Source organism: Homo sapiens, chromosome 2 (genome assembly GCF_000001405.40).
Source record: "Homo sapiens chromosome 2, GRCh38.p14 Primary Assembly".
In the NCBI taxonomy this organism is placed as follows: domain Eukaryota; kingdom Metazoa; phylum Chordata; class Mammalia; order Primates; family Hominidae; genus Homo; species Homo sapiens.
Genome location: NC_000002.12, coordinates 190,205,977 through 190,230,167, shown reverse-complemented (window position 1 = coordinate 190,230,167; position 24,191 = coordinate 190,205,977). Strand labels below are relative to the sequence as shown.

At 41.4% G+C, this 24,191-nt stretch overlaps 1 protein-coding gene across 6 annotated transcripts in view; it reads left to right on the top strand.

Annotated features, from left to right (window-relative positions):
• HIBCH (3-hydroxyisobutyryl-CoA hydrolase) overlaps positions 1-24,191 on the top strand; it is a 130,092-nt gene that overhangs the window by 89,659 nt on the left and 16,242 nt on the right. For 4 of the 6 annotated variants that reach the window (XM_047443905.1, NM_014362.4, XM_011510954.2 and 1 more), the window contains 2 exons: positions 17,093-17,212; positions 21,255-21,288. In XM_047443905.1, coding sequence (XP_047299861.1) covers positions 17,093-17,212; positions 21,255-21,288 — 154 coding nt within the window. The remainder of the gene's footprint in view (positions 1-17,092; positions 17,213-21,254; positions 21,289-24,191) is intronic. The other 2 variants (XR_922903.3, NM_198047.3) reach the window with 1 other exon arrangement.

Sequence of the window (24,191 nt, the reverse complement as noted above, 5' to 3'; positions counted from 1 at the left end):
ATGTTTTATTAAGGGGCACAGACAGCACAGACAGCTTACAAAAGTGTAGGGGACCCAAACAGAAACCCTTTAATTTTACTGATTAGAATGGGGAGCTTACAACAGAGGCAACTATTAAAATGTGCAGAAGGTATTCAGAAGATTGTGAGCAGGCATATATGAGAGATTTCATTACAAGCTCTCTACAGTAACCAACCATAATGCAGAATAGAAATTCATTATTTTGGACTTTTGCTACCTGTCAATTTAACTGTTACGTTTTTACGGACTTGTTAAAAAAGTGATTAGATAGACTGTTTTAGATTTTCCTTAAAAAAAAAAAATCCAGCCATATAAGATGCTTCTAATAGTAGTGTCTCTTAGTTTAGTTTTATTTTCTGTGCACTATTTGCCCTTGTAGAAAACATTGTTTCTGCTGAAAATGCTTTCAGGTAGTGTATGTTTTGACCTGTTTTGCACTGATTTATTTCTCTTGTGCCTTGCAAGTGTTTAAAAAAATTTGCAATTCATATTATTTCTGTACTATAATATGAACAAATGCTTTATCCTCCCCTCTGACCTCTGTAATGTGGAAAGAACATTGAATATTACTTCATTGGTTGCCATCTGTGGCTTGCTTACACTTTTTTCTTGATGGTATTTTTAGCAGTTCAAAGAAAGTTTTTAGAAATAGTGAATTTGGTTTCTGAATTGAAGGATTAGAAAGTTTATCTCACAGCATGTTAGCAGATTGGAAATATGCTACAGCCTTTATTCAGAGGAGAGCAAAATTACACCCATGTATATTCTTCCTACACCTTTAAGCATTCCTTTGAGTTGGATAGGAGATAAGCCAATTTGTTTTCTTTAATTAGGCTCTTAATCCCTCATTTGCTGTTCATTGTCTCTACTCTGTACTTAATGGAAGTCAATATCAGTTCTGTTTTTAATGCATTTTTTAAAAGTAAAGTGATCTAAATATACATGAATTCCAAACAGTTAGAGTTCTGTATTAGGGTTCTCCAGAGAAATAGAACCAATAGGAGATACATAGGAAATCTCAGGATATAGCCTCTACCTTTGCATACCCCATACAGTAGGCATGTCACACTGTATATTATTGGGTGTTCTGGGAGACTTTTGAAGGGAGTGGCAAAGGCAATATCCTGAGTTTTCCTTTTGTTAGAAATTTCCCATGTCTAGATAAAACTTGTCAAAAGAAGGGTTCTTTGGGGTGTTACCCAAAGGGCAGTGATTATAATTCTGATAATGCTCTTTAAGTGCAAGAATCACGTCCTCTTTGTTATTGTCTCCCCTGTAGTGCATTGTAGGTGCTCAGCAATATTTTTGAATTGAAATGAGAATATGAATTGTTTGATAAAGGAGAAAAGAAGTTGTCTCTTTGACAATAGGAGACAACTGATTTTCCTTCCCCCTAATCTTTAAACAAATCTTTAAAGGGTCAGATAAATGGGTTGAGCCACTTACCAGTGTTCCATAAGAAGTAGAAATGTGTTCACTAGGTTGTATGGGTACAAAATTATATCAATACACATTTCTTGCATAGCTAAAGATCCAAGTCCCAATAATTTATCAAATTTTCTAGAACAGTCTGTGTTCTCTCTCTCTCTTTTTTTTTAATTATACTTTAAGTTCTAGGGTACATGTGCACAACCTGTAGCTTTGTTACTTTTGTATATGTGCCATGTTGCTGTGCTGCACCCATTAACTCATCATTTACATTAGGTATATCTCCTAATGCTATCCCTCCCCCCTCCCCCCACCCCACAACAGTCCCTGGTGTGTGGTGTTCCCCGCTCTGTGTCCAAATGTTCTCATTGTTCAATTCCCACCTATGAGTGAGAACATGTGGTATTTGGTTTTCTGTCCTTGCGATAATTTGCTGAGAATGATGATTTCCAGCTTCATCCATGTCCCTACAAAGGACATGAACTCATCCTTTTTTATGGCTGCATAGTATTCCATGGTATATATGTGCCACATTTTCTTAATCCAGTCTATCATTGTTGGACATTTGGGTTGGTTCCAAGTCTTTGCTATTGTGAATAGTGCCACAATAAACATATGTGTGCATGTGTCTTTATGGCAGCATGATTTATACTCCTTTGGGTACATACTCGGTAATGGGATGGCTGGGTCAAATGGTATTTCTAGTTCTAGATCCTTGAGGAATTGCCACACTGTCTTCCACAATGGTTGAACTAGTTTACAGTCCCACAAACAATGTAAAAGTGTTCCTGTTTCTCTTCCTCTTCAGCACCTGTCGTTTCCTGACTTTTTAATGATCGTCGTTCTAACTGGTATGAGTTGGTATCTCATTGTGGTTTTGATTTACATTTCTCTGATGGCCAATGATGAGCATTTTTTCATGTGTCTGTTGGCTGCATAAATGTCTTCTTTTGAGAAGTGGCTGTTCATATCCTTTGCCCACTTTTTGATGGGGTTGTTTGATTTTTTTTCTTGTAAATTTGTTTAGGTTCTTTGTAGATTCTGGATATTAGCCCTTTGTCAGATGGGTAGATTGTAAAAATTCTCTCCCATTCTGTAGGTTGCCTGTTCACTCCGATGGTAGTTTCTTTTGCTGTTTAATTAGATCCCATTTGTCAATTTTGGCTTTTGTTGCCATTGTTTTTGGTGATTTAGTCATGAAGTCCTTGCCCATGCCTATGGCCTGAATGGTATTGCCTAGGTTTTCTTCTAGGGTTTTTATGGTTTTAGGTCTAACATTTAAGTCTTTAATCCATCTTGAATTAATTTTTGTATAAGGTGTAAGGAAGGGATCCAGTTTCAGCTTTCTACATATGGCTAGCCAGTTTTCCCAGCACCATTTATTAAATAGGGAATCATTTCCCCATTTCTTCTTTTTGTCACGTTTGTCAAGGTTGTAGATGTGTGGTATTATTTCTGAGGGCTCTGTTCTGTTCCATTGGTCTATATCTCTGTTTTGGTACCAGTACCATGCTGTTTGGGTTACTGTAGCCTTGTAGTATAGTTTGAAGTCAGGTAGTGTGATGCCTCCAGCTTTGTTCTTTTGGCTTAGGATTGACTTGGCAATGTGGGCTCTTTTTTGGTTCCATATGAACTTTAAAGTAGTTTTTTCCAATTCTGTGAAGAAAGTCATTGGTAGCTTGATGGGGATGGCATTGAATCTATAAATTACCTTGGGCAGTATGGCCATTTTCATGATATTGATTCTTCCCATCCATGAGCATGGAATGTTCTTCCATTTGTTTGTATCCTCTTTTATTTCGTTGAGCAGTGGTTTGTAGTTCTCCTTGAAGAGGTCCTTCACATCCCTTGTAAGTTGGATTTTAGGTATTTTATTCTCTTTGAAGCTATTGTGAATGGGAGTTCACTCATGATTTGGCCCTCTGTTTGTCTGTTAATGGTGTATAGGAATGCGTGTGATATTTGCACATTGATTTTTGTATCCGGAGACTTTGCTGAAGTTGCTTATCAGCTTAAGGAGATTTGGGGCTGAGATGATGGGGTTTTCTAAATATACAATCATGTCATCTGCAAACAGGGACAATTTGACTTCCTCTTTTTTTTTTTTTTTTTTTTTTTTTTTTGAGACGGAGTTTCACTCTTGTTGCCCAGGCTGGAGTGCGGTGGCACAATCTCGGCTCACTGCAACCTCCACCTCCCAGGTTCAAGCGATTCTCCTGCCTCAGCCTCCCTAGTAGCTGGGATTATAGGCATGTGCCACCATGCCCGGCTAATTTTGTATTTTTAGTAGAGATGGTGTTTCTCCATGTTGGTCAGGCTGGTCTCGAACTCCTGACCTCAGGTGATCTGCCCGCCTCGACCTCCCAAAGTGCTGGGATTACAGGCGTGAGCCACCGCACCTGGCCTGACTTCCTCTTTTTCTAATTGAATACCTTTATTTCTTTCTCCTGCCTGATTGCTCTGGCCAGAACTTCCAACACTATGTTGAATAGGAGTGGTGAGAGAGGGCATCCCTGTCTTGTGCCAGTTTACATAAGGGAATGCTTCCAGTTTTTGCCCATTCAGTATGATAATGGCTGTGGGTTTGTCATAAATAGCTCTGATTATTTTGAGATACGTCGCATCAATACCTAGTTTATCGAGAGTTTTTAGCATGGAGGGCTATTGAATTTTGTTGAAGCCCTTTTCTGCATCTATTTAGATAATCATGTGGTTTTTGTCCTTGGGTCTGTTACGTTTATTGATTTGTGTATGTTGAACCAGCCTTGCATCCCAGGGATGAAGCCAACTTGATCATGGTGGATAAGCTTTTTGATGTGCTGCTGGATTCAGTTTGCCAGTATTTTATTGAGGATTTTTGCATCAATGTTCATCAGGGATATTGGTCTAAAATTCCCTTTTTTTGTGGTGTCTCTACCAGGCTTTGGTATCAGGATGATGCTGGCCTCATAAAATGAGTTAGGGAGGATTCCCTCTTTTTCTGTTGATTGGAATCGTTTCAGAAGGAATGGTACCAGCTCCTCTTTGTACCTCTGGTAGAATTCGGCTATGAATCCGTCTGGTCCTGGAGTTTTTTCGGTTGGTGGGCTATTAATTATTGCCTCAATTTCAGAGCCTGTTATTGGTCTATTCAAGGACTTAACTTCTTCCTGGTTTAGTCTTGGGAGGGTATATGTGTCCAGGAATTTATCCATTTCTTCTAGATTTTCTAGATTATTTGTGTAGAGGTGTTTATAGTATTCTCTGATGGTAGTTTGTATTTCTGTGGGATCGGTGGTGATATCCCCTTTATCATTTTTTATTGCGTCTATTTGATTCTTTAATCTTTTCTTCTTTATTAGTCTTGCTAGCTGTCTATCAATTTTGTTGATCTTTTCAAAAAACCAGGTCCTGGATTCATTGATATTTTGAAGGGTTTTTTGTGTCTCTATTTCCTTCAGTTCTGCTCTGATCTTAGTTATTTCTTGCCTTCTGGTAGCTTTTGAATGTGTTTGTTCTTGCTTCTCTAGTTCTTTTAATTGTGATGTTAGGGTGTCAATTTTAGATCTTTCCTTCTTTCTCTTGTGGGCATTTAGTTCTATAAATTTCCCTCTACACACTGCTTTAAGTGTGTCCCAGAGATTCTGGTATGTTGTGTCTTTGTTCTCACTGGTTTCAAAGAACATCTTATTTCTGCCTTCATTTCGTTATGTACCTAGTAGTCATTCAGGAGCAAGTTGTTCTGTTTCCAAGTAGTTGAGCGATTTTGAGTGAGTTTCTTAATCCTGAGTTCTAGTTTGATTGCACTGTGGTCTGAGAGACTGTTACAATTTCTGTTCTTTTACATTTGCTGAGGAGTGCAACTTTGTGGTCACTTTTGGAATAACTGATGTGGTGCTGAGAAGAATGTATATTCTGTTGATTTGGGGTGGAGAGTTCTGTAGATGTCTGTTAGGTCCACTTGGTGCAGAGCTGAGTTCAAGTCCTTGATATCCTTGTTATCTTTCTGTCTCGTTGATCTGCCTAATGTTGACAGTGTGGTGTTGAAGTCTCCCATTATTATTGTGTGGGAGTCTGAGTCTCTTTGCAGGTCTGTAAGGACTTGCTTTATTAATCTGGGTGCTCCTGTATTGGGTGCATATATATTTAGGATAGTTAGCTCTTCTTGTTGAATTGATCCCTTTACCATTATGTAATGGCCTTCTTTGTCTCTTTTGATCTTTGTTGGTTTAAAGTCTGTTTTATCAGAGACTAGGATTGCAACCCCTGCTTTTTTTTGTTTTCCATTTGCTTGGTAGATCTTCCTCCATCCCTTTATTTTAAGCCTGTGTGTGTCTCTGCACATGAGATGGGTCTCCTGAATACAGCACACTGATGAGTCTTGACTCTTTATCCAATTTGCTAAGCCCTGACCCCAGAGGTGGAGTCTACAGAGGCAGGCAGGCGTCCTTGATCTGCGGTGGGCTCCACCCAGTTCAAGCTTCCCTGCTGCTTTGTTTACGTACTCAAGCATCAGCAATGGCCGACGCCCCTTCCCCAGCCTCGCTGCCTCCTTGTAGTTCGATCTCAGACTGCTGTGCTAGCAGTGAGTGAGGCTCCGTGGGCATGGGACCCTCTGAGCCAGGTGCAGGATATAATCTCCTGGTGTGCCGTTTGCTAAGACCGTTGGAAAAGTGCAGTGTTAGGGTGGGAGTGTCCTGATTTTCCAGGTACCGTCTGTCACGGTTTCCCTTGGCCAGGAAAGGGAATTCCCCGACCCCTTTTGCTTCTCAGGTGAGGCGATCCCCCGCCCTGCTTTGGCTCATATTCTGTGGACTGCACCCACTGTCTGACAAGCCCCAGTGAGATGAACGTGGTACCTCAGTTGGAAATACAGAAATCACCCATCTTCCACATTGCTCACTCTGGGAGCTGTAGACTGGAGCTGTTCCTATTCGGCCATCTTCTGTGTTCTCTTTTTAACAATTGAAGGTATATTACATGAGCTCCTTTAGCTTTCTTTATCTTCCCTTCTTTGATTTTCTCTAACATGTTCCTCACTTCCTTGCCAAGGGCAATAGCCCTTTCCATGCTCTCATTCTATCCTTTCCTGCCTCCTCTAAGAACTAATTATATTAATTTTCTCCCTCTTTGAGTTTCTTCAATTTTGCCTTCTTGGGTTATTGGCACATTTTCTTCTACCATTATTTTCAGAAAGCTTTTGTAAACAAATCACAAAGCCTTTCCTTGACTCTGTTTTTCTTCACGCCTACCATCCTGACTCAGTAATATTTGAGTGACTACCACTTATCAGGCATTGTTCTTGGAGCTAAGGAAATAGTGGTGAAAAAAAGGAGTTACTTAATAGGGCATGGTGGCATGCATGTAGTACCATATACTCAGGAGGCTGAGGTGGGAGGATCCCTTGAGCCCTGGAGTTTGAGGCCAGCCTGGGCAACATAGCAAGACCCTGTCTCTTATTTATTTTTTTATTATACTTTAAGTTCTGGGTTACATGTGCGGAACGTGCAGTTTTATTACATAGGTATACATGTGCCCTGGTGGTTTGCTGCACCCATCAACCTGTCACGTACATTAGGTATTTCTCCTAATGTTATCCCTCCCCTAACCCCCAACTCCCAACAGGTCTCAGTGTGTGATGTTCCCCTCCCTGTGTCCATGTGTTCTTATTGTTCAACTCCCACTTATGAGTGAGAACATGTGGTGTTTGGTTTTCTGATCTTGTGATAGTTTGCTGAGAATGATGGTTTCCAGCTTCATCCATGTCCTTGCAAAAGACATGAACTTATCCTTTTTTATGGCTGCATAGTATTCCATGGTGTATATGTGCCACATTTTCTTAATCCAGTCTGTCATTGATGGACATTTGGATTGGTTCCAAGTCTTTGCTATTTTGCATAGTGCTGCAATAAACATACGTGTGCATGTGTCTTTCTCGTAGAATGATTTATAATCCTTTGGGTATATACCCAGTAATGGGATTGCTGGGTCAAATGGTATTTCTAGTTCTAGATCCTTGAAGAATCACCACACTGTCTTCCACAATGGTTGAACTAGTTTACAGTCCCACCAACAGTGTAAAAGCGTTCCTATTTTTCCACAGCCTCTCCAGGATCTGTTTTTTCCTGACTTTTTAATGATCGCCATTCTGACTGGCGTGAAATGGTATCTCATTATGGTTTTGATTTGTATTTCTCTAATGACCAGTGATGATGAGCATTTTTTCATATGCTTGTTGGCTGCATAAATGTCTTTTTTGAGATATTCACTTCTAATTATTACTTGATGCAATGTTCTCTTCTTGGGTTTTTTTTTTTTCCTCCTTTTTGACTTCTTCAGCCTTTGACATTCTTGAACCTTAGACAAATTCATATGGAAGCAGGAAATTTTCCCTGACACCTTCATGGGCAGTAACTGTAGTGCACAGGTGCTAGGACTAGCCGGCCGTTTCTGTGCCAGCAGGGACAGACTCCATTTGCTTGGTCCTGCTACTTTCCACCCCTCACAGGAGGTGGGGAACACAAGTGAGTGAGTGCAGAAGCTGGGTTGAGGGCTTTTGGGCACTGACGGGAGCAAAACTCTGTGCAGCCCAGCAGCAGCGTCTAGGGGGTGCCTATGACCCCTGAAGCCCAGAAAGAGTGTTACAGTCAGTGCTTTTTTAGCTTTGCCATCTGCTGATGGCTTACGTGTTAGCAGCTCAGTGGAGGGTCAGTGTGCCAGACTTTTGCACCTTCACCTGAGTGAGTTCTTGTCCGACATCCAGGGGGAATGAGGTCTCATGAACATATTGGAGATGTTAAATGCAGGAGATTTTATTGTTGATGAAAGTGGCTCTCAAGGAAGGGGAGCTGTAAAGGGAATGGAGTGGGAAGACAATCTTCCCCTGGAGTCTGGCCATCCCTGGCCAGATTCCTCTCCAAAGCATTGCTGTCAAGCCATCCCTCTGAAGTCAAGCTGCCTCTCTCCAATGTCCAACCGTAGTCTCCGTCGTCTTGCTACTTCTCCTCCTCTCTCTGCTGGGTGAGGTTTTTATGGGCACTGGATGGGGGGTGGGGCAGGCCAAGGGTGATTCTGGAAAAGGCAACATTCGAGCAGGAAAACAGGAATGTGTGTTCTCACTTTGGACCGTGGTTTCACGCTTGAGGGTGGGGCCCTTACTGGGGGACCCACCCTCTTCCCGGAATTTCTGTGCCTCCTGTCCCTATCAGTATCAGAGCCAGGTTTCCTCATCTGTAAAATTTGTATGCTGCCATGCCCTTTCCCAGATTGTGATTAAACATGTTAAAGTATCCTCATGAAAGCTAAGGGAAATGTGTTTAATAAATATTTCTTCTTGTACCTGTTTTGCCTGGTTTCAGTGCACCATCATGCACTGCCATATCATTTTTACGAGGTTGGCAGTATTATTATGCCTGTTTTACAAATGAGGATACTATGGTCAGTCATCTAGAAGGTGGTGAAGCCTAGGATTCTAACCCAGCACTCTCTGACGGTAGAGTCCAAACCCGAAGACTCTGTGCTAGATTGCCAGCATACTAAGAGTTGTTAGAAACTGCAAGGATTCTTAATTAGAATTTTATGAAATCTCTGAACCAACAGAACTTTTTAAATAAAGTTTTCTTCCTATTTGTGTGTGTTTGTGTGTGTATGAAACAAGCACAGATAAACGGGTCCTGTGCGGCCTTTCTTATAAAATTAATTGATAACCAACTGAGGAAATATAGCAAAAGGTAGATTTCTGTGTTTTGAGAAATCCAGGTTACATAGAAAGTGCCAAACCAAGAAATGGAAACCATAAGCAGTAAACCATAATGGTAGTGCTGAGGAACAATTGTGTGCTTGCACCTGGCAGCACTGTTAGGGAATTGGAGCTTCATTGACCTTGCATATGAAGCCAGAAAGTGGTCATGTCACTCCCTTATACACACCTTTTAGCATTGTCAATGAAGTTCTTCCAGGTTTTCACCTAAGGTAATAGATGGTACTGTTCCCTGCTAAAGAAAACTAGTGATTTTGTCAGCAAAATGGACTCAGTGTCTTCTGCTTGCCTACGGAAAGGGTGGGGCCTGTTAGCACAGTATGCAGACTGCCTTGGATGCCCTGTAACCAGAAAGGCCAGTGGAGTACCCTGTAATCGGGGGCATTAAATGGGAGAATGTTCATAAAGCACCTAGGGCAAAGAATGAGTTCCCATGAAGAACCAGTTTTATCAGTGCCCTTAATCATTTTTCTTTCCTTCTCATCTTTTCTCTTCAGCAGCACCGTGACTGTAGGTAGGATACTGATTTTCCTTGAACTTTTCCTGTACCGAAGTCATCTGTTCAAAGCTCTGGCAACTGCTGTGTAAGATACTGTTCTATCCATTTACTCTGTTCCTTGAATCTGGTTGCCAGAATTAAGGATGCTACAGAGAACACAGAATCTTGAAGTAGGGAATTCTTGAACTCAGGTAAAGTCTAAACCTTTGAAATAGTTATTCAACAATAAACTTGAAAAGTATCTGTTGTGATTATAAAGGAAAGCACAGGCATCAGATGTACACAGCATGTAATGACCTCTTGCAGCAGCTGTTGAAGTCACGATCATAGATACATCTTGGAACTAGTGATAGCACCTTTAATTTCAAAAGGAGTGGCATAGCATTATAGCCAACAAGTCAGATCTGTAATTCTTATTTTATTAAATACTTAAATGCTGTAAACAAGTGCTGTACGTAATCTTGAATTGTCTTCTCTCTTTCCAAGGTGAGTAGATTTATTTTTAGGTGAAGACTATAGTTAAGACACTTCTCTGGAGTCACAGAGTAGGAAAGAGCTACTGTATTTCTACTCCTTCATCTTCTTTACATTGTAAAATAAAATGTCCTCTGTCCATCCAAACCCACAGAATGGACTCAGACCTGGACAATAGCGAAAGCGAGACTTTTAATGACAGTCTTGCAAGATTGAGTGTCTGGCATGCAGGCACACCCAGCATGGTTTTAACAAGCAATTTATCCCTTAGTGTGCAGGACCCTCCCCCGGTTCCTTATAGGCTGAGTATTGTAGGTCCCATCACCTATTGATTGTTAGGCAGGGCTTTAGGTGTGTTTTTAGGGTTGTCTTGCTGCATTTTGTTGCAGCCCACAATGCACTGCAATCCTAGTTAGCTCAGGGGCTCTTCAAGTATTTGACTTATGACCTAAGTTGCTGGGCAGGCCGATAAGAACAAACAAAGTGAGCTATTTTGCAGACTAATAAACTTTTATTTTAGACTCAAATTCTTTGGTTCGGGTGAGAGAAACTAAGTGGTGGAGAAAGTGGAGGCCAACAAGCGGCATCAGCTATCCAAACAGGGGCCTAGTATATCCTGTTTTTTCTGTGGTTTGCTGACCTAAGCCGATTCAGGGCACTTTGTTTTGGAAATGAACCATGGTATACGTTATTTCCTTCAATTCTCTCCTTTTTTTCTTTCTACTACTATTTGTTCCATTTCTGCATTTATTTTTGTGTCCTTTAGTTCTTAAATTTATTAGGTCCTCCTTTAGGGACTTCTATTGAGTTAATATAAGTGTTAGAATTAAAAGAATTTGTTAGATTTCTCCAACTTCAGGGCCATGTGGATTCTTGGAGATCTTCTGGAATGCCAAGGTGAATGGAATGGCCAAGTGAACTAAGGCACAAGTCCCAGTCCAGTTGGACGGTAACAGGTTACGGAGGTTCCCTTTCCCATAATACCACCAGACATTAGCCTGGGGTATATGAAGAGCTGAGTAGTTGCCTTTGTTTGACTTACCAGTAACGTTTAGGATGTGGGTACAAGTTGAGAGTTTTCCCACGGGCTTACTGAACTCTGTCCCCTGTCTAGAGAGGCAAGAGGAGTGGTTTATATTCCCTATGGAGAAAGAAGGGATCGCTCTAGGATTTGACCTTTGCAAGGTGGGAAAGAGCAATAATAAACTTTTGCAAGTCTCATTTCCCCATGCATCCCTGTCCTGGTATAGAGCCAACATGCAATGCATTCCTCTGGGATTGGTATCCCATTTTAGGGGAAACGCAGCTACCAGTGCTTGAGGCCGCCCAGCAGAGCATGCGTAACTGTTGCTTCTATTAAGAGCTAGTACTGAAAATTTGACCCATTCAACCCAGGCAGTTACATCCCCATATTTTTAATTTTTAGTTTGCCTTAAAGTTAGTGTCTTAAGGGTCATTGTCTGGTGGGTTAAAGGAAGTAGTAAGACCAGGAGTTCTAGTAATTCTGGGTGGGCTTGGGGGTGGAATTGGTGATTTGCCTAAGAGCTAACTGTCCCATGGAATCCCTTCCTGAGATAATTATTCCTAATGTATACCTCCAGGGTTCCTGGTCTAGAGTAGCTGGGTTGTTTATGGTAATTAATATAGGATTGCATTTTAAATTTTTACAGTTAGGTAGCATGGGGCCCTTATATTTTATTTTTTAACGGTTGGTTTTCAGAAGAATGACTCAGCTGGCCTTGATATGGTGTGGTCCACCAGACCTGATTCCAGCTAGCACAGAGATTTTTTTGAGAGGGCCCAATAACGGTCTGTTTTAGGACATAGATATTTGTCTGCTTGTGACAACTGCCTTTGGTTCCGTAAATTCCCACAAGGTAAGACTTGGCAGGCATTAAATTTTATAGTTTGGGGGGTGGGGGTGGAGGTTTTAGTTATGTTGACTATTAGTTTGATTAGATATTTCCTACTTTCCACCCCTAGTACTGGGCCCTATCCAATAGGGTTTCCTTTTACCCCTTGTGTTAGGATTAATCCTAACCGTATCCACCCCCAATGACGGAGCCTGCTCATAGCTTCCTTTAGGTTTTCCTTAGAGTTAGCTTTAAGGGTTTCTTAGGTGATTTATACATTCCCTATTCACTCTTTTCCCTTTCTTTCAGGGGTTCTTTTACCAGTCTCTTGACCCGAGTGTAATGTGCTCACCCCGGTTCAGCTGTTTATGTGGCTGTTTTAGTGATTAGGAGCACTTGTTACGGACTTTCCCAGCTTGGGTGGAGCATGTCTTCTTTCCAGGTTTTAATTAGCACCGAGTTGCCAGCCTGGAAGTGGTGAACTGTGAACTCAAGAGGCAGGGTTCGAGTTAGAAGTTTTTTTAACCTAAGGGATGACAGGGTAGAGGATATGCCCAGTGTATAATTTTTAAAAAATTGGTCTTTGATTTTCATAGTAGAAAGGTTAGTAGTCCTGCTTAAATATGGCCTTAACCCAGGAGGTCTTTTTCCAGTAGTCTGTTTTTTTGTTTTAAGACAGAATCTCGTTCTGTCGCCCAGGCTGGAGTGCAGTGTGTGATCTCAACTCACTGCAACCTCCATCTCCTGGGTTCAAGCTATTCTCCTGCCTCAGCCTCCCAAGTAGCTGGGATTACAGGCATGTGTCACCACACCCAGCTGATTTTTGTAGTTTTAGTGGAGACAGGGTTTCACCATGTTGGCCAGGCTGGTCTTGAACTCTTGACCTCAGGTGATCCACCTGCCTCAGTCTCAGAAAGTGTTGGGATTACAGGCTGGAGTTAGGTGAGGCACTTCCCCAGGGTCCACTGACCCCTGGAGGAACTTGGGGAGGCAAGGGACTGACCAGCTGGCTTCCCAGGGTGCCTTTGGTCGGGCCCTGCTGGGTCTGGCACTGGGCCAAGAGCTGCTGGTTTGAAGAGCTAACAGCCTGTGGCACCTTTCCTGAGGGGCACTTTCATTAGCAAAAGCATCCCTGGCTCCACCCTCACTTCCTCATTGTTTGCTTTGAAGACACCATTCCTCTCCCTGGCAGGCGGAGAGCTGTACTGTTTGTATTCCACACCACCCCTGCTGGTGACCCAGCAACTGCAAAGGGTCTCTGGTTTGTCCCGCTCTGGGAGGGGACTTAGTGGCTTTTCCTCCTCCTCAGCTGCAGGGATCCTCCCCCAGCCCAGCCAAGCTCTGGGAAACAGAACTTTTAAACATCCCACCTCAAAGCGTCTTGGCAGACTTCTCCCCAGCACGAGCTCTCTCTACTTCAGGGATTGCAAACTGGCATCCTCTTTTGCCTCTATTGGGTTTTTAAGTTTTTTGAACTGATAACCAGCATTTAAAAATCCCATTTTAGATAAAAAGAATTCTGGCCTCTGACAAAGCAGACAGTTTGGCATCACAGCTGAGCAGCTGTGGCCCCTTTAACAGGGTGTGCCCTCTTCAGTTAGCCACAGTCCCCACACAGCCCTGCAGCCCTCCTTCTCATCATTTACTGGCCCTGTAGTCATTTGAGTTTACAACCCTCTGATCTAACTTATATAGCCCCCCAGACCTTCTGCAGCCTTACTGACAGCTGCCCGTGGTGGACTTACAGCCTCTCAGTAAAACAACAACAAAACCTTAATGGTCATTTCATCCATTTACCCTTCCATAATCTGAATCCTTTCTGCCGCCTTCTGACAGCCATCCATAGGCAACCCACTGCTCCTGATCCTAAACTGTCCTCCACATCCCTTTCTCATTTGCATCGCCCGGTTCCCAGGCTCTGTCCCGCCTCAGTGGCCACACTGCACCCTTTGCTTGCACCTCCTTGTTGCTTGAGCCTCTAGAACCTTCCCCCAGCCCTGCCAATCTCTCCACATCCTCTCACCTCCTCTTGTACTCTTTCTTCCTTTTACATTATTTTTCTCCCCAGTCTCACCTTCTGTGTCTCTTTGATCTTTGTCTTTTCCAGTCTCTCTCTTGCTCATTTTCTTCTTTTATTTCTCTTTCTGTCATCCCCTGTTTCCTTTTTCCCTCAAACTCAGTTTCTTCCTCTTTCTCTCTCTGGGCATGAGCTGAGCCTTAACTGTGCCCTGGCTCCCCCGTGTCTGACAGACAGTTCTGACTCTTTTTCTCTGGGCACCAGCACACCTGCACAGTGTCTTACACTGCCTTCCCTGTCTTGGCTGCTTAGTCCAGTGGCTCCCACACACACAGCTGTGCACCAGGCTTTCCCTTGCCTTCAGGGTCAGCAGCTTAACTCTTTCTCTGGCCCTCTACGTTTGCTGTTTCCTCCCCTTTATCTTTCTGATTTCCTTTCTTTTCATCGATGTTTCCCCCTTTCTTCTTACAGAAACCTTCTGAGCTTCCCTTAGTAATTCCTTAATTGGTTTTTCATTCCATCCATTAACCTTTTGCAGTTTCTTAGTAATATCAGGCCAGCTTTTAGTCAGAAAATTAACCTTTAAAATTAAAGGCCTTGCCCTACTGGGTCCTCTGGATTTAATCCTGAATATTTTCGCATTTGATCACTGAGCCTCTGCAGCAACACAGAGGGAGTCTCCTCCTTTTTTGTTGTTGAATCTCAAATGCTTTTGAGACATTTTATGTCCTAGGAGTGGACTTTTTAATCCCTTTAATTATTAGTTCCCTTAGGTCCTGCATTTGGGCCCGATCTCTTTATTGTTATCCCATCCAGGATCTGCATTTAGGAATTTCTGCTCAGTTGGCAGGACTTCTTGCCTGGGAGGACGCTGTCTTTCCCAAATGGTTATGGCTGCCCTTATAATTATTCCCCTCTCTTCCCCAGTAAACACAATATTCATGATTGACATCATCTCAGCCTAAGTATAAAAATTGGGTCCTAAAAATTGATCTAGCTGCTAAACCGAGGGGATCTCTGCTAAGCTGAGGTTTGCTCTGCTAAACCGAGGGGATCTTCCAAGAATGGCCTCATTTCCTTTTTAAAATTCCTAACCTCAGTACTTGTTAGAGGTGCATTCACAAACCCAACTCCTCCCTGTCCCATAGGGACTTCTCTAAGAGAGTACTTATTAGACGTCTACTGTTCAGAAGAAATAGGGAAATTCTCAATGTCCTTCTTACATTGTTCTAATTCTTTCCTCAAGTTTGGATAAGGATTTAAGGGAGCACTGGGTTTAGCTCCTTCATGATCCCCAGATTCCTCTTTCCTCGACCTTCCTCTTGCCCCCGATCTCCCTGTCCTCTACCTTGTGAGATGTTTGGGGGAGGGGCAAGCGTGTTGGGGATCCCAGGGCTTTTCACTGGGTGAGGGCTCTTTACTGTGCTCTTCCTCTTTAAGGGGGAACATGGGGTTAAATCACTAATCCAACAAAGAACATAACCCACATCCTCTGTGAGTATGGGTTTTATCATTCACGTAGAGAATTAAAGCTTGGCACACCCAGTCCTCATCTGAGCCAAACTTAGGCCAAAAGACCAAAGGCTGACAAATGGGCTTTTTGGGCCAGATAAAACAGCAATACTCTATCATCTTTTGCTTTTCCTTGTTCCTGGTTTGGGGATTATCCATTCAAACCTGCAACATTCTCCCCAAGGGACTATCTGGGAGAATGTCAGAGGGGGTCTTTTTAGTTCGCTCTTTCCTTTGTTCTGTAGGCCTAGAATTCCTGTTTCCCATTTTCACTTAGTCTCTGTGTCAGGTTTTTGCTGTGTACTCAGCCCCCCTTACTGGAGGTTTCTTGCACACTCCGGGTTCTCTGAAAATGCCCCAATACCAAGGCAGTACTGATAATCCAACTTTCCTACCTTGGATCATGCAGGAGGTTGGCTGGTTGCCATGGTGCCTGCTTTTCTCCTTGTGTCACCTCCGCTGTCTCCTGAACAAGACTTGGGTTTGTCTGTGGCTTCTGCGGGGAGCCAAGATGTCCAGAGCAGGCCACATAAATCAAGTGGGGTGCGTCTCCCTTCTCGGCTGGAGTCTTAACTCCATACAGGCACAGAGATAGCCGTATGGGCCACCAGGTTGTGAGAAACAATTCACCCGTCCAAACCCACAGAATGGACTCAGAGACCCGGACAGTAGCAAAAGCGAGACTTTTAATGACGGTCTTGCAAGATTGGGTGTCTGGTGTGCAGGCACACCCGGCACAGTTTTAACAAGCAACTTAACCTCCTAGTGCACAGGTCCCTCCCCCGGTTCCTTATAGGCTGAGTCCTATAGGGTCACAGTCATCCCGGACGTCACCTGTTGAGTGTTAGGTAGCAGCTTTAGGTGTTTTTTTTTAGGGTTGTCTTGCTGCATTTTGTTGCAGCCCACAATGCATTGCAATCCTAGTTAGTTCAGGGGCTCTTGAAGTATTTGACTTATGACCTAAGTAGCTGGGCAGGATGATAAGAACAGACAAAGTGAGCTATTTTGCAGACTAGTATCTAGGCTAAACTTCTTTGGTTCGGGTGAGGGCAGCTAAGTGGGGGAAAAGGGGACGAAGCGGGAGGCTGACAAGCAGGCATTGGCTATTGAAGCAGGGGCCTAGTATCCTGTTTCTTCTGTAGTTTGCTGACCTATGCCGATTCAAGACACTTTGTCCCGGAAATGGACCACTGTATGCGTTATTTTCTATACTCCATGAATATGATTGGTTTGTAAGGTGTGTATTGATTTTATTTAAGTGTAATTGCTGTTTGCTTAGCCAATTGGCATAATTTATGCTAAGCAAACTACAAATATGGATTTATTTTATTAGTCACAGCTACAGAATTTATTCCACTTGTGGAATGATGTTTTGTTTTTGTAGCAGATTAGAAAAGTTTTGTTTGGTGCTTTGGCAGGATTAAGCTAGGGTATAATCTTTTATGAGATTTTGGCATATTTTAATATTATTTACATAGACACTCTGCCCATTTATTATAGACAATAAAGGAACTATTGGACTAACAGTAGTAAATTTTTTCCTCCAAAAGGTAATTAATAAAATGTCTCCAACATCTCTAAAGATCACACTAAGGCAACTCATGGAGGGGTCTTCAAAGACCTTGCAAGAAGTACTAACTATGGAGTATCGGCTAAGTCAAGCTTGTATGGTAAGAATTTAAAAAAAAAATGTCATTTTTTAGTTCTAAAAGTAACATACGTTTATTGTAGAACTTGTAAAATACACTAAGTGCAAACAAGAAAATTAAAACCACCTGTAAATTTACTCTACAAAAACACAACAGGCCAGTTAGTTTTAGATGTGTGGAAGTATTGCTACCCAGATTGTTATTAAGCCTTTATAAAATAGCAATTACATTTGCATGTCAGTGTAAGAAGCTCTCTAACCTCATCTTAGAGGAATTCAAAATAGAAATTAATGTCTTTCAGCGATGGTCTCTGTGACCTTGGGCAAGGCATATAAACTCTGTAAATGTGAATTCCCTCATTGGTAAAATGAAGAGGATTATTTATAAGCAGATATATATATAAAGTAAATGCACAAATGGAAGTTATTAGTCTGTTACGTGTTTAAAATAATGAGCATTATTAAAGTACCATTGTAAACATAAAGTGGACAATAATCACATAGAATATTGATTTCATGAAACATCTCATATTTATATTTATTTATTCTTCCAGATGATAAACTCTTTAAAGTCAGAATCATCCTTTATGTTCAGAGGACCCTTAAGAAGCATCTTATTATTTAGACTAATATATGGACTAAAGGGACTATTTGGCTTAATAGCCAGAAAGGAGACATTCCTAATGACTTTAATGTAATAGTTATTAAGATGTTCAATGTAGTTCATCTAGTTAGAAATAACTCTGTTAGCCATGTCTTAAAGTCACTCCTTGAGGGATGTAAATGGCAGCTGACGTCTATTGTTTATTATGTGCAGGTACTACGCTAGGCACTTTATATGCATTTGCTCCATTAAATCTTATGGTATCTCTAGAAGGATAGGTACTGTTATTGACTCCATTTTACAGATGAAGAAATTGTTATATAGTGGTGTAACTTGCCTAAGGTTGTGCAGCTATTAAGTGACAGAGATATGGCATATGAAACCAGGCAGTCTTACTCCAGTGCCTGCACTCTTGACCACTCTCCTGTATACCTCACACATTCCATGTTTTTCATTACACTTTTAGTGCACTGCCTAGATTGATTGATTCTTGCCTTCATTCTCTCAGCAAATATGTTAGCTATGTCCCAGGCACTGTGCTCAGTGTTAGCCTTATATTGTTGAATAAGAAGACACAGTCCTTTATTTTCATGGGTTTAGTCTACTGAGACTACAAAGAACAAGTAAACAAAATAAGTAAAATAATTATAAATTGTGATAAGTACTCTAAAGGAAAACATACAGGGTTGGTGATAGAAGAGATTATGCAGGGACAGGAGGGAGTTGGGGGGCAATGGGAAACCTCCTTAAGTAGATCAGGGAAGACATCTTTGTGATGTCACTTCATTTGTGACCTAAAGGATGAGAAAGGAGTATGTTGAGAAGACTCTTGGGCTTAAGCAGGAGGTGATTTGATTTTTCATTTCATTCGGTTCAATTTGCTTTAAGAAGGAAATTGTTGCTGCTGTGTGGAGATAGGGTTGGAGAGGTTCAAGAACGGTTTAGAGACCAGATATAGATTTCCTGCAGTGATCCAGGTGTGAAATAGTAGTTTTGAGACAAGCATGGTGGCAATTGAGAGAAGTAAATGGATTTGAGACACATGTAGGAGATAGAATAGATAGGACTTGCTGGATGTGAGGGAAGGAATGCATTTAGGAGTTAGAGATTAGAGGAATGAGTTGGAGATTTAAATCTGAAAGACACCAACAGCAATTAAGAAAACCTTGGGGATTCGTTATTTACTAAACAAGAGTGCTTACTATGTCGTAGACACTGTTAGAGGTACCCAGGTACATAGGTTCCAGGTACATAGGTGTGCTCCAGGGGTTGAGGTTGAAAAGGCAGAAAACAGTTTAAATCATTATCTTGGGGAGTAGGGAGTAGGATAACACCTGCCCTCATGGAACTTACTTTATAATGGGGAAATAGACTGTAAACAAGATTAATACATAAAATATATATTATATGATTATAAATATTAACAAGAAAAAGGAAGCAGGATATGTGATATAGAGTAACAGGGGGATGAATTGTAGATGGGATGACCAGAGAAGGCCTCACTGAGATGTTCTTTGAGTGAATTCCTGAAAGAAGTAAGGAAGTGAGCCCATGCCATTATCTAGAGGAAGAGCATCCCAGGCAGTGGGAACTGCAAGAACAAAGCTGTGAGGCTGGAGCATGACTGCCTGTGCTAGGGACCACAAAGAGGCCGTGTGGAAGCGGATGGGGGGCAGAGGTTGTGGTGAGTGAGAGATGAGGTCAGAGGAAACAGTGTAGAGAAAGGCTGTGCAGAGCATACAGAGCCTTGAAGGTCTCTCTAAGGACTTTGGCTGAGTAAAATGGGAAGCCACTAGGTGATTATGAGGAGAGGAATGCCATGATCTTATACTTTAAAGAATTGATCACTCAGGCTGCTATGTTGAGCACTGAATAGGTAAGATCATATTATAAAGAAAATGAGAGTCCAGACCTGAGCCCTAAGGAACTCTAACATTTTGAGGTGTGGTAGAGAAAGAGCAGTAGGAAGGAAAAAAAGGATGGAGAGGTAGGAGGACCAGGAGAGTGTAGTGTCACAAAAGAAAGTGAGGAATGTTTCGGGGAGGAGGGTGTAATGGACAGTGTTGAACGCTGTCAAAGTGTAGACGAGGTTAGAAGTGTCATTTGACCTTGGCGATGCCGATGTCATGGGTGGTTTTGGCAAGCCATTTTAGAGGAGTGGGGGCAGAAGTTAGAGTGTAGTAAGTTGGAGAGGAAAAATGGGATGTGAAGAAGTGGAGAGAATATGTGTAGATGAATACTCTTGAAAGTGAAATAGGATAGAAGCTGGGACTGTGGAATCAAATGAAGTTCCTTTTTTATTTTGTAAGATGGAAGGTACTAGAACATGTTTAAAAATGATTGGGAATGATCCAATAGAGAAACAAGATTATGTTGATGATACTAATGGTAGTTAATATTTACTGAACACTTAGTGTCGGACACTGTGCTTGGATGTGGATTAAAATAATCCTAGGATGGATATATAAATTACCTTTTCATGTAAAGAAACTAGGGTTGGAGAAATTACTAGTCCGAGGTCACATAGTTAATATGTAGCTATCAGGATGTGAACCTAGACATTTGAACTCAGCTATATTGCCTACATCGATGATTCTAGGAAAATAAAAGTGAATGACCACATCAAGCAAAGTCCATCCTTGAGAAGGCAAGAGGGGATGTGAATTGGAATGCAAGGGAGGACTGGTCTTTGAAAAAGGGATGGTCCTTTCCTCCACGGCATTGAAAGAGAAGGCAGGTGCAGATGGCCACAGTTGCCTGCAGGTGTTTTAGTGGTGAGAAGACAAGACTTCATATCTAAGAGCTTCTCGTATTTTTAAAGAAGTCAGAGGTTAAGTAACTGGCTGAGACTATAATAAGAGTGTGCTCTACGGGTAGAGGTTGAGAAGGCAGAAAACACTTAAAATCATTATCTTGGGGAGTTGGGAAGAGATCTTGGATTGTTTGGCAGTTTTCTGTGCCTGTTTGAGATTTTTGATCATGAATTTTAAATGAAACCAGTCACAGTTGTATGATTTTCTGCAGCAAGACTTAGCTGCTGAAGTGCAGGCAGGGGTACGTGATAGGGTTTAGTTGGTGCCAGGATTTTGCTAGGATTGTAAAAAAGGAAAAAAGGTTTGAGGGAGATGATGACATTTTGACAGGAAAGTGACCATATTAAAGGACTGGTGAAATTGGGCTGGATGAAGAGCAAAGTGAAGCCAGCACAGATGGGGAGAAAGTCATAGGATCTGTGGACCTCAGTAAGATCAATGATTTGTAGCAGTGGAGATACTTGAGCAAATAAGATTTAGGAGGTGGTGATCAGAGAGTGGGCTATCAGAGGTGGTTCAGTCTCTGAATGTCATGGTTCAGGTTGTGGCCATGGGAGTGGAAGGCTGAAGTGAATAGAGGAGAGAGAAAATAACCCAGAATAAGGACACCCAGAAATTATCCCCATTTAATCTCAATTTTCTTTCAGAGAGGTCATGACTTTCATGAAGGCGTTAGAGCTGGTAAGTGGCAAATGGGAACTTACCATTTTGGGGAAATGGGATTTGTGAGCATATGCTGTTAATTAAAGAAGATACAGATTATGCATCCCAAATCCTAAAATCCAAAATGTACCAAAATCTGAAACTATTTGAGCACCAACATGACACTCAAATGTTCATTGGACCATAAGTATAATGCAAATATTCCAAAATCTGAAAAAAAAAAAAAAAATCAAACCTGAAACACTTCTGATCCCAAGCATTCCAGATAAAGAATACTCAACCTATAGTTGTTTTAGTAGTGAAAATTAAACTTTTATTAAGATTGCAAAGTTGTGTATGTTTTTAAAGAATATGTTACCATCTGGGATATGAAAAGGAAGATCAGTCTTTGAAACTGATAATTGTTTTAAAAATTCACATAACTTGGCCACTGTTTCCTAATTTATATATAAGGTAATCCTGCCCCTACAATCATGGACTGCATCTGATAAGTGCAGCATTGAGCTTGTAAACTCATCCTGCTGCCATCCTGCTGCTGTGGCCTTTGAAACATGCATTTATTACCTTACAAAAAGCCCTCAAATCCCCTACCCTTTCTCCCTCTTTCGTGCTGGCCTGGCAAAATTGACCAGTGGTCTAACCCTACTTTCCACCTTCTTGCCTGTACCTCAGCAGTTAAACATTGCTGGGGAAAAAGACCATATGATGTCATTAGTAACATCTGCAGATTGTCTTATTAATACTTTCCATTTTGCTTATAATCTCCAATGTCAGCATATTTAGAAAAAGCAAGTGAAGTGCTTGACGTGCTTGACTGTTTTTTCTAGCATACTTGCAACAATTCCTTTTTATGCATAATTCTTATCCTTATAAAAAGCTGTTATTTATGTTGTATAAAATGAGTTGTTCCCTCTGCATGTATTTTGCATATCTAATGTTCCTGTTTTTATTAATTATTTTACTATAGTGCAGACTCTGGATATCCTTTGTTTTTTTTATTTTATTTTATTTTTTTTGGAGACAGGGTCTCACACTGTCACCCAGGCTGGAGTGCAGTGGTGCACTTTCGGCTTACTGCAACCTCCACCTCCCAGGTTCAAGTGATTTGCCTACCTCAGCCTCCTGAGTAGCTGGGACTACCAGCCCATGCCACCACGCCTAGCTGATTTTTGTATTTTTAGTAGAAACGGGGTTTCACCATGTTGGCCAGGCTGGTCTTGAACTCCTGATATTATGTGATCTGGCTGCCTTGGACTCCCAAAGTGCTGTGATTACAGGCATGAGCCACCGTGCCCAGCCTGGATATACTTTTTTATCTGAATAAAAGGTTATGTTATGTTCTCTCAGCTCTTAAGCTTTGATAAACAATCACTCTTCATAGAGTTCTCTTCATTTCTGACATGATACAATATCAGAAATAAGGACTTGATTGAAATCTTTTTAGTATTCAGCACATGGAGCTGATCAGAGGAGATGGCAGTGTGTCTTGTAGAAACTAAGTAACATAGGCATTTTCCTCACAAATTCTCTGCAAATTCTTGCTGCATGTGGATTACAGCCTAGAACTCTGATTTTAGAGGACCTGTAAGCATACAGGGTTATATTGTTAAAGTATTCATTATATGTTATAATAGCCCTTCTTTAAAAAGAAAGATACTGTTTTTAGATAAATACTGTTATTTTGAGGAAAAAATGTTGAAACCAATCAGCATCAAAGTTCTGATTCATAAAGGAAGTGCTTATTATACGACTTTTTTTTGTTTTGTTTTGTTTTTTGAGATGGAGTCTCACTCTGTCACCCAGGCTGGAGAGCAGTGGCAAAATCTCGGCTCACTGCAAACTCCGCCTCCCGGGTTCACACCATTCTCCTGCCTCAGCCTCCCGAGTAGCTGGGACTAAAAGCGCCTGCCACCACGCCTAATTTTTTTGTATTTTTAGTAGAGACGGGGTTTCACAGTGTTAGCCAGGATGGTCTCGATCTCCTGACCTCGTAATCCGCCTACCTCAGCCTCCCAAAGTGCTGGGATTATAGGCCTGAGCCACCGCGCCTGGCCTATGCTACTTTTTAATGAAGAGAAAGTATATTGCCGCCTCTTTCAGAAAGCAGCGTCTGTTCTGAGATTGAAAACTGTTGTGTTCTTTACATAGTCAAATGTTTGCTGCAGTTTGCTAATAATAAAAACATATTAGCAAGTTAAAGTAAGTTAGCAAATTTAACAGTTGTTAAAAATTCTTACTGTTAACATCTAGAACAAATTACTACTTTGTGGTTATAGAAGAAGAAAAAAAGACCATCTTAGTGGAGCTGGATACCCACTCAAACTCCATGTAGTGGCTATCTCAGGAGACTTGCAAAACCTGAGCTGCCTACATGGCACGAACTTGTATGTATTCTAGTAAAAAAATTGTTAGCTTGAAATAAAATAACAAATTTGATTAATAGTCTCTTTGCTCTTGTCCTTCAGTGGGATCTCAAGGAGACAGGTAGTATTGACCAGAAGACTTAGAGTGAGAGAGATTCTTGTGGAAAAAATGTGCCGGGGTTGTTCTTTGTTTACACTGTCCACGGAATATAAAACTTTCAAATAGTAGGGATCAGAACATCAGTATTTAATATCGCCACTGATCTGATACCAGAATCTCATAGTAGGCAGTTAAATCTTAAAAACAAACCTCCCGTATCTGCATTTAATTGTATGTAAAAGCTTCCCTCCACCTACCAAGGCAGTCTTCTTCCTTGGTTCCCATACTGCTTCTTTAACTATTTTAGCCTTTAAATGCTAAATTAGGTTTTTCTAGTTCACTATAGTTTGCACATTTAAATATTTCCATTCTTCACAAGAATTATGTGCATTTTAAGCATGGTTGAAATTTGCTGCCACAACCATAACATTAAAATTTGGAGATCATTGTAGATTCAT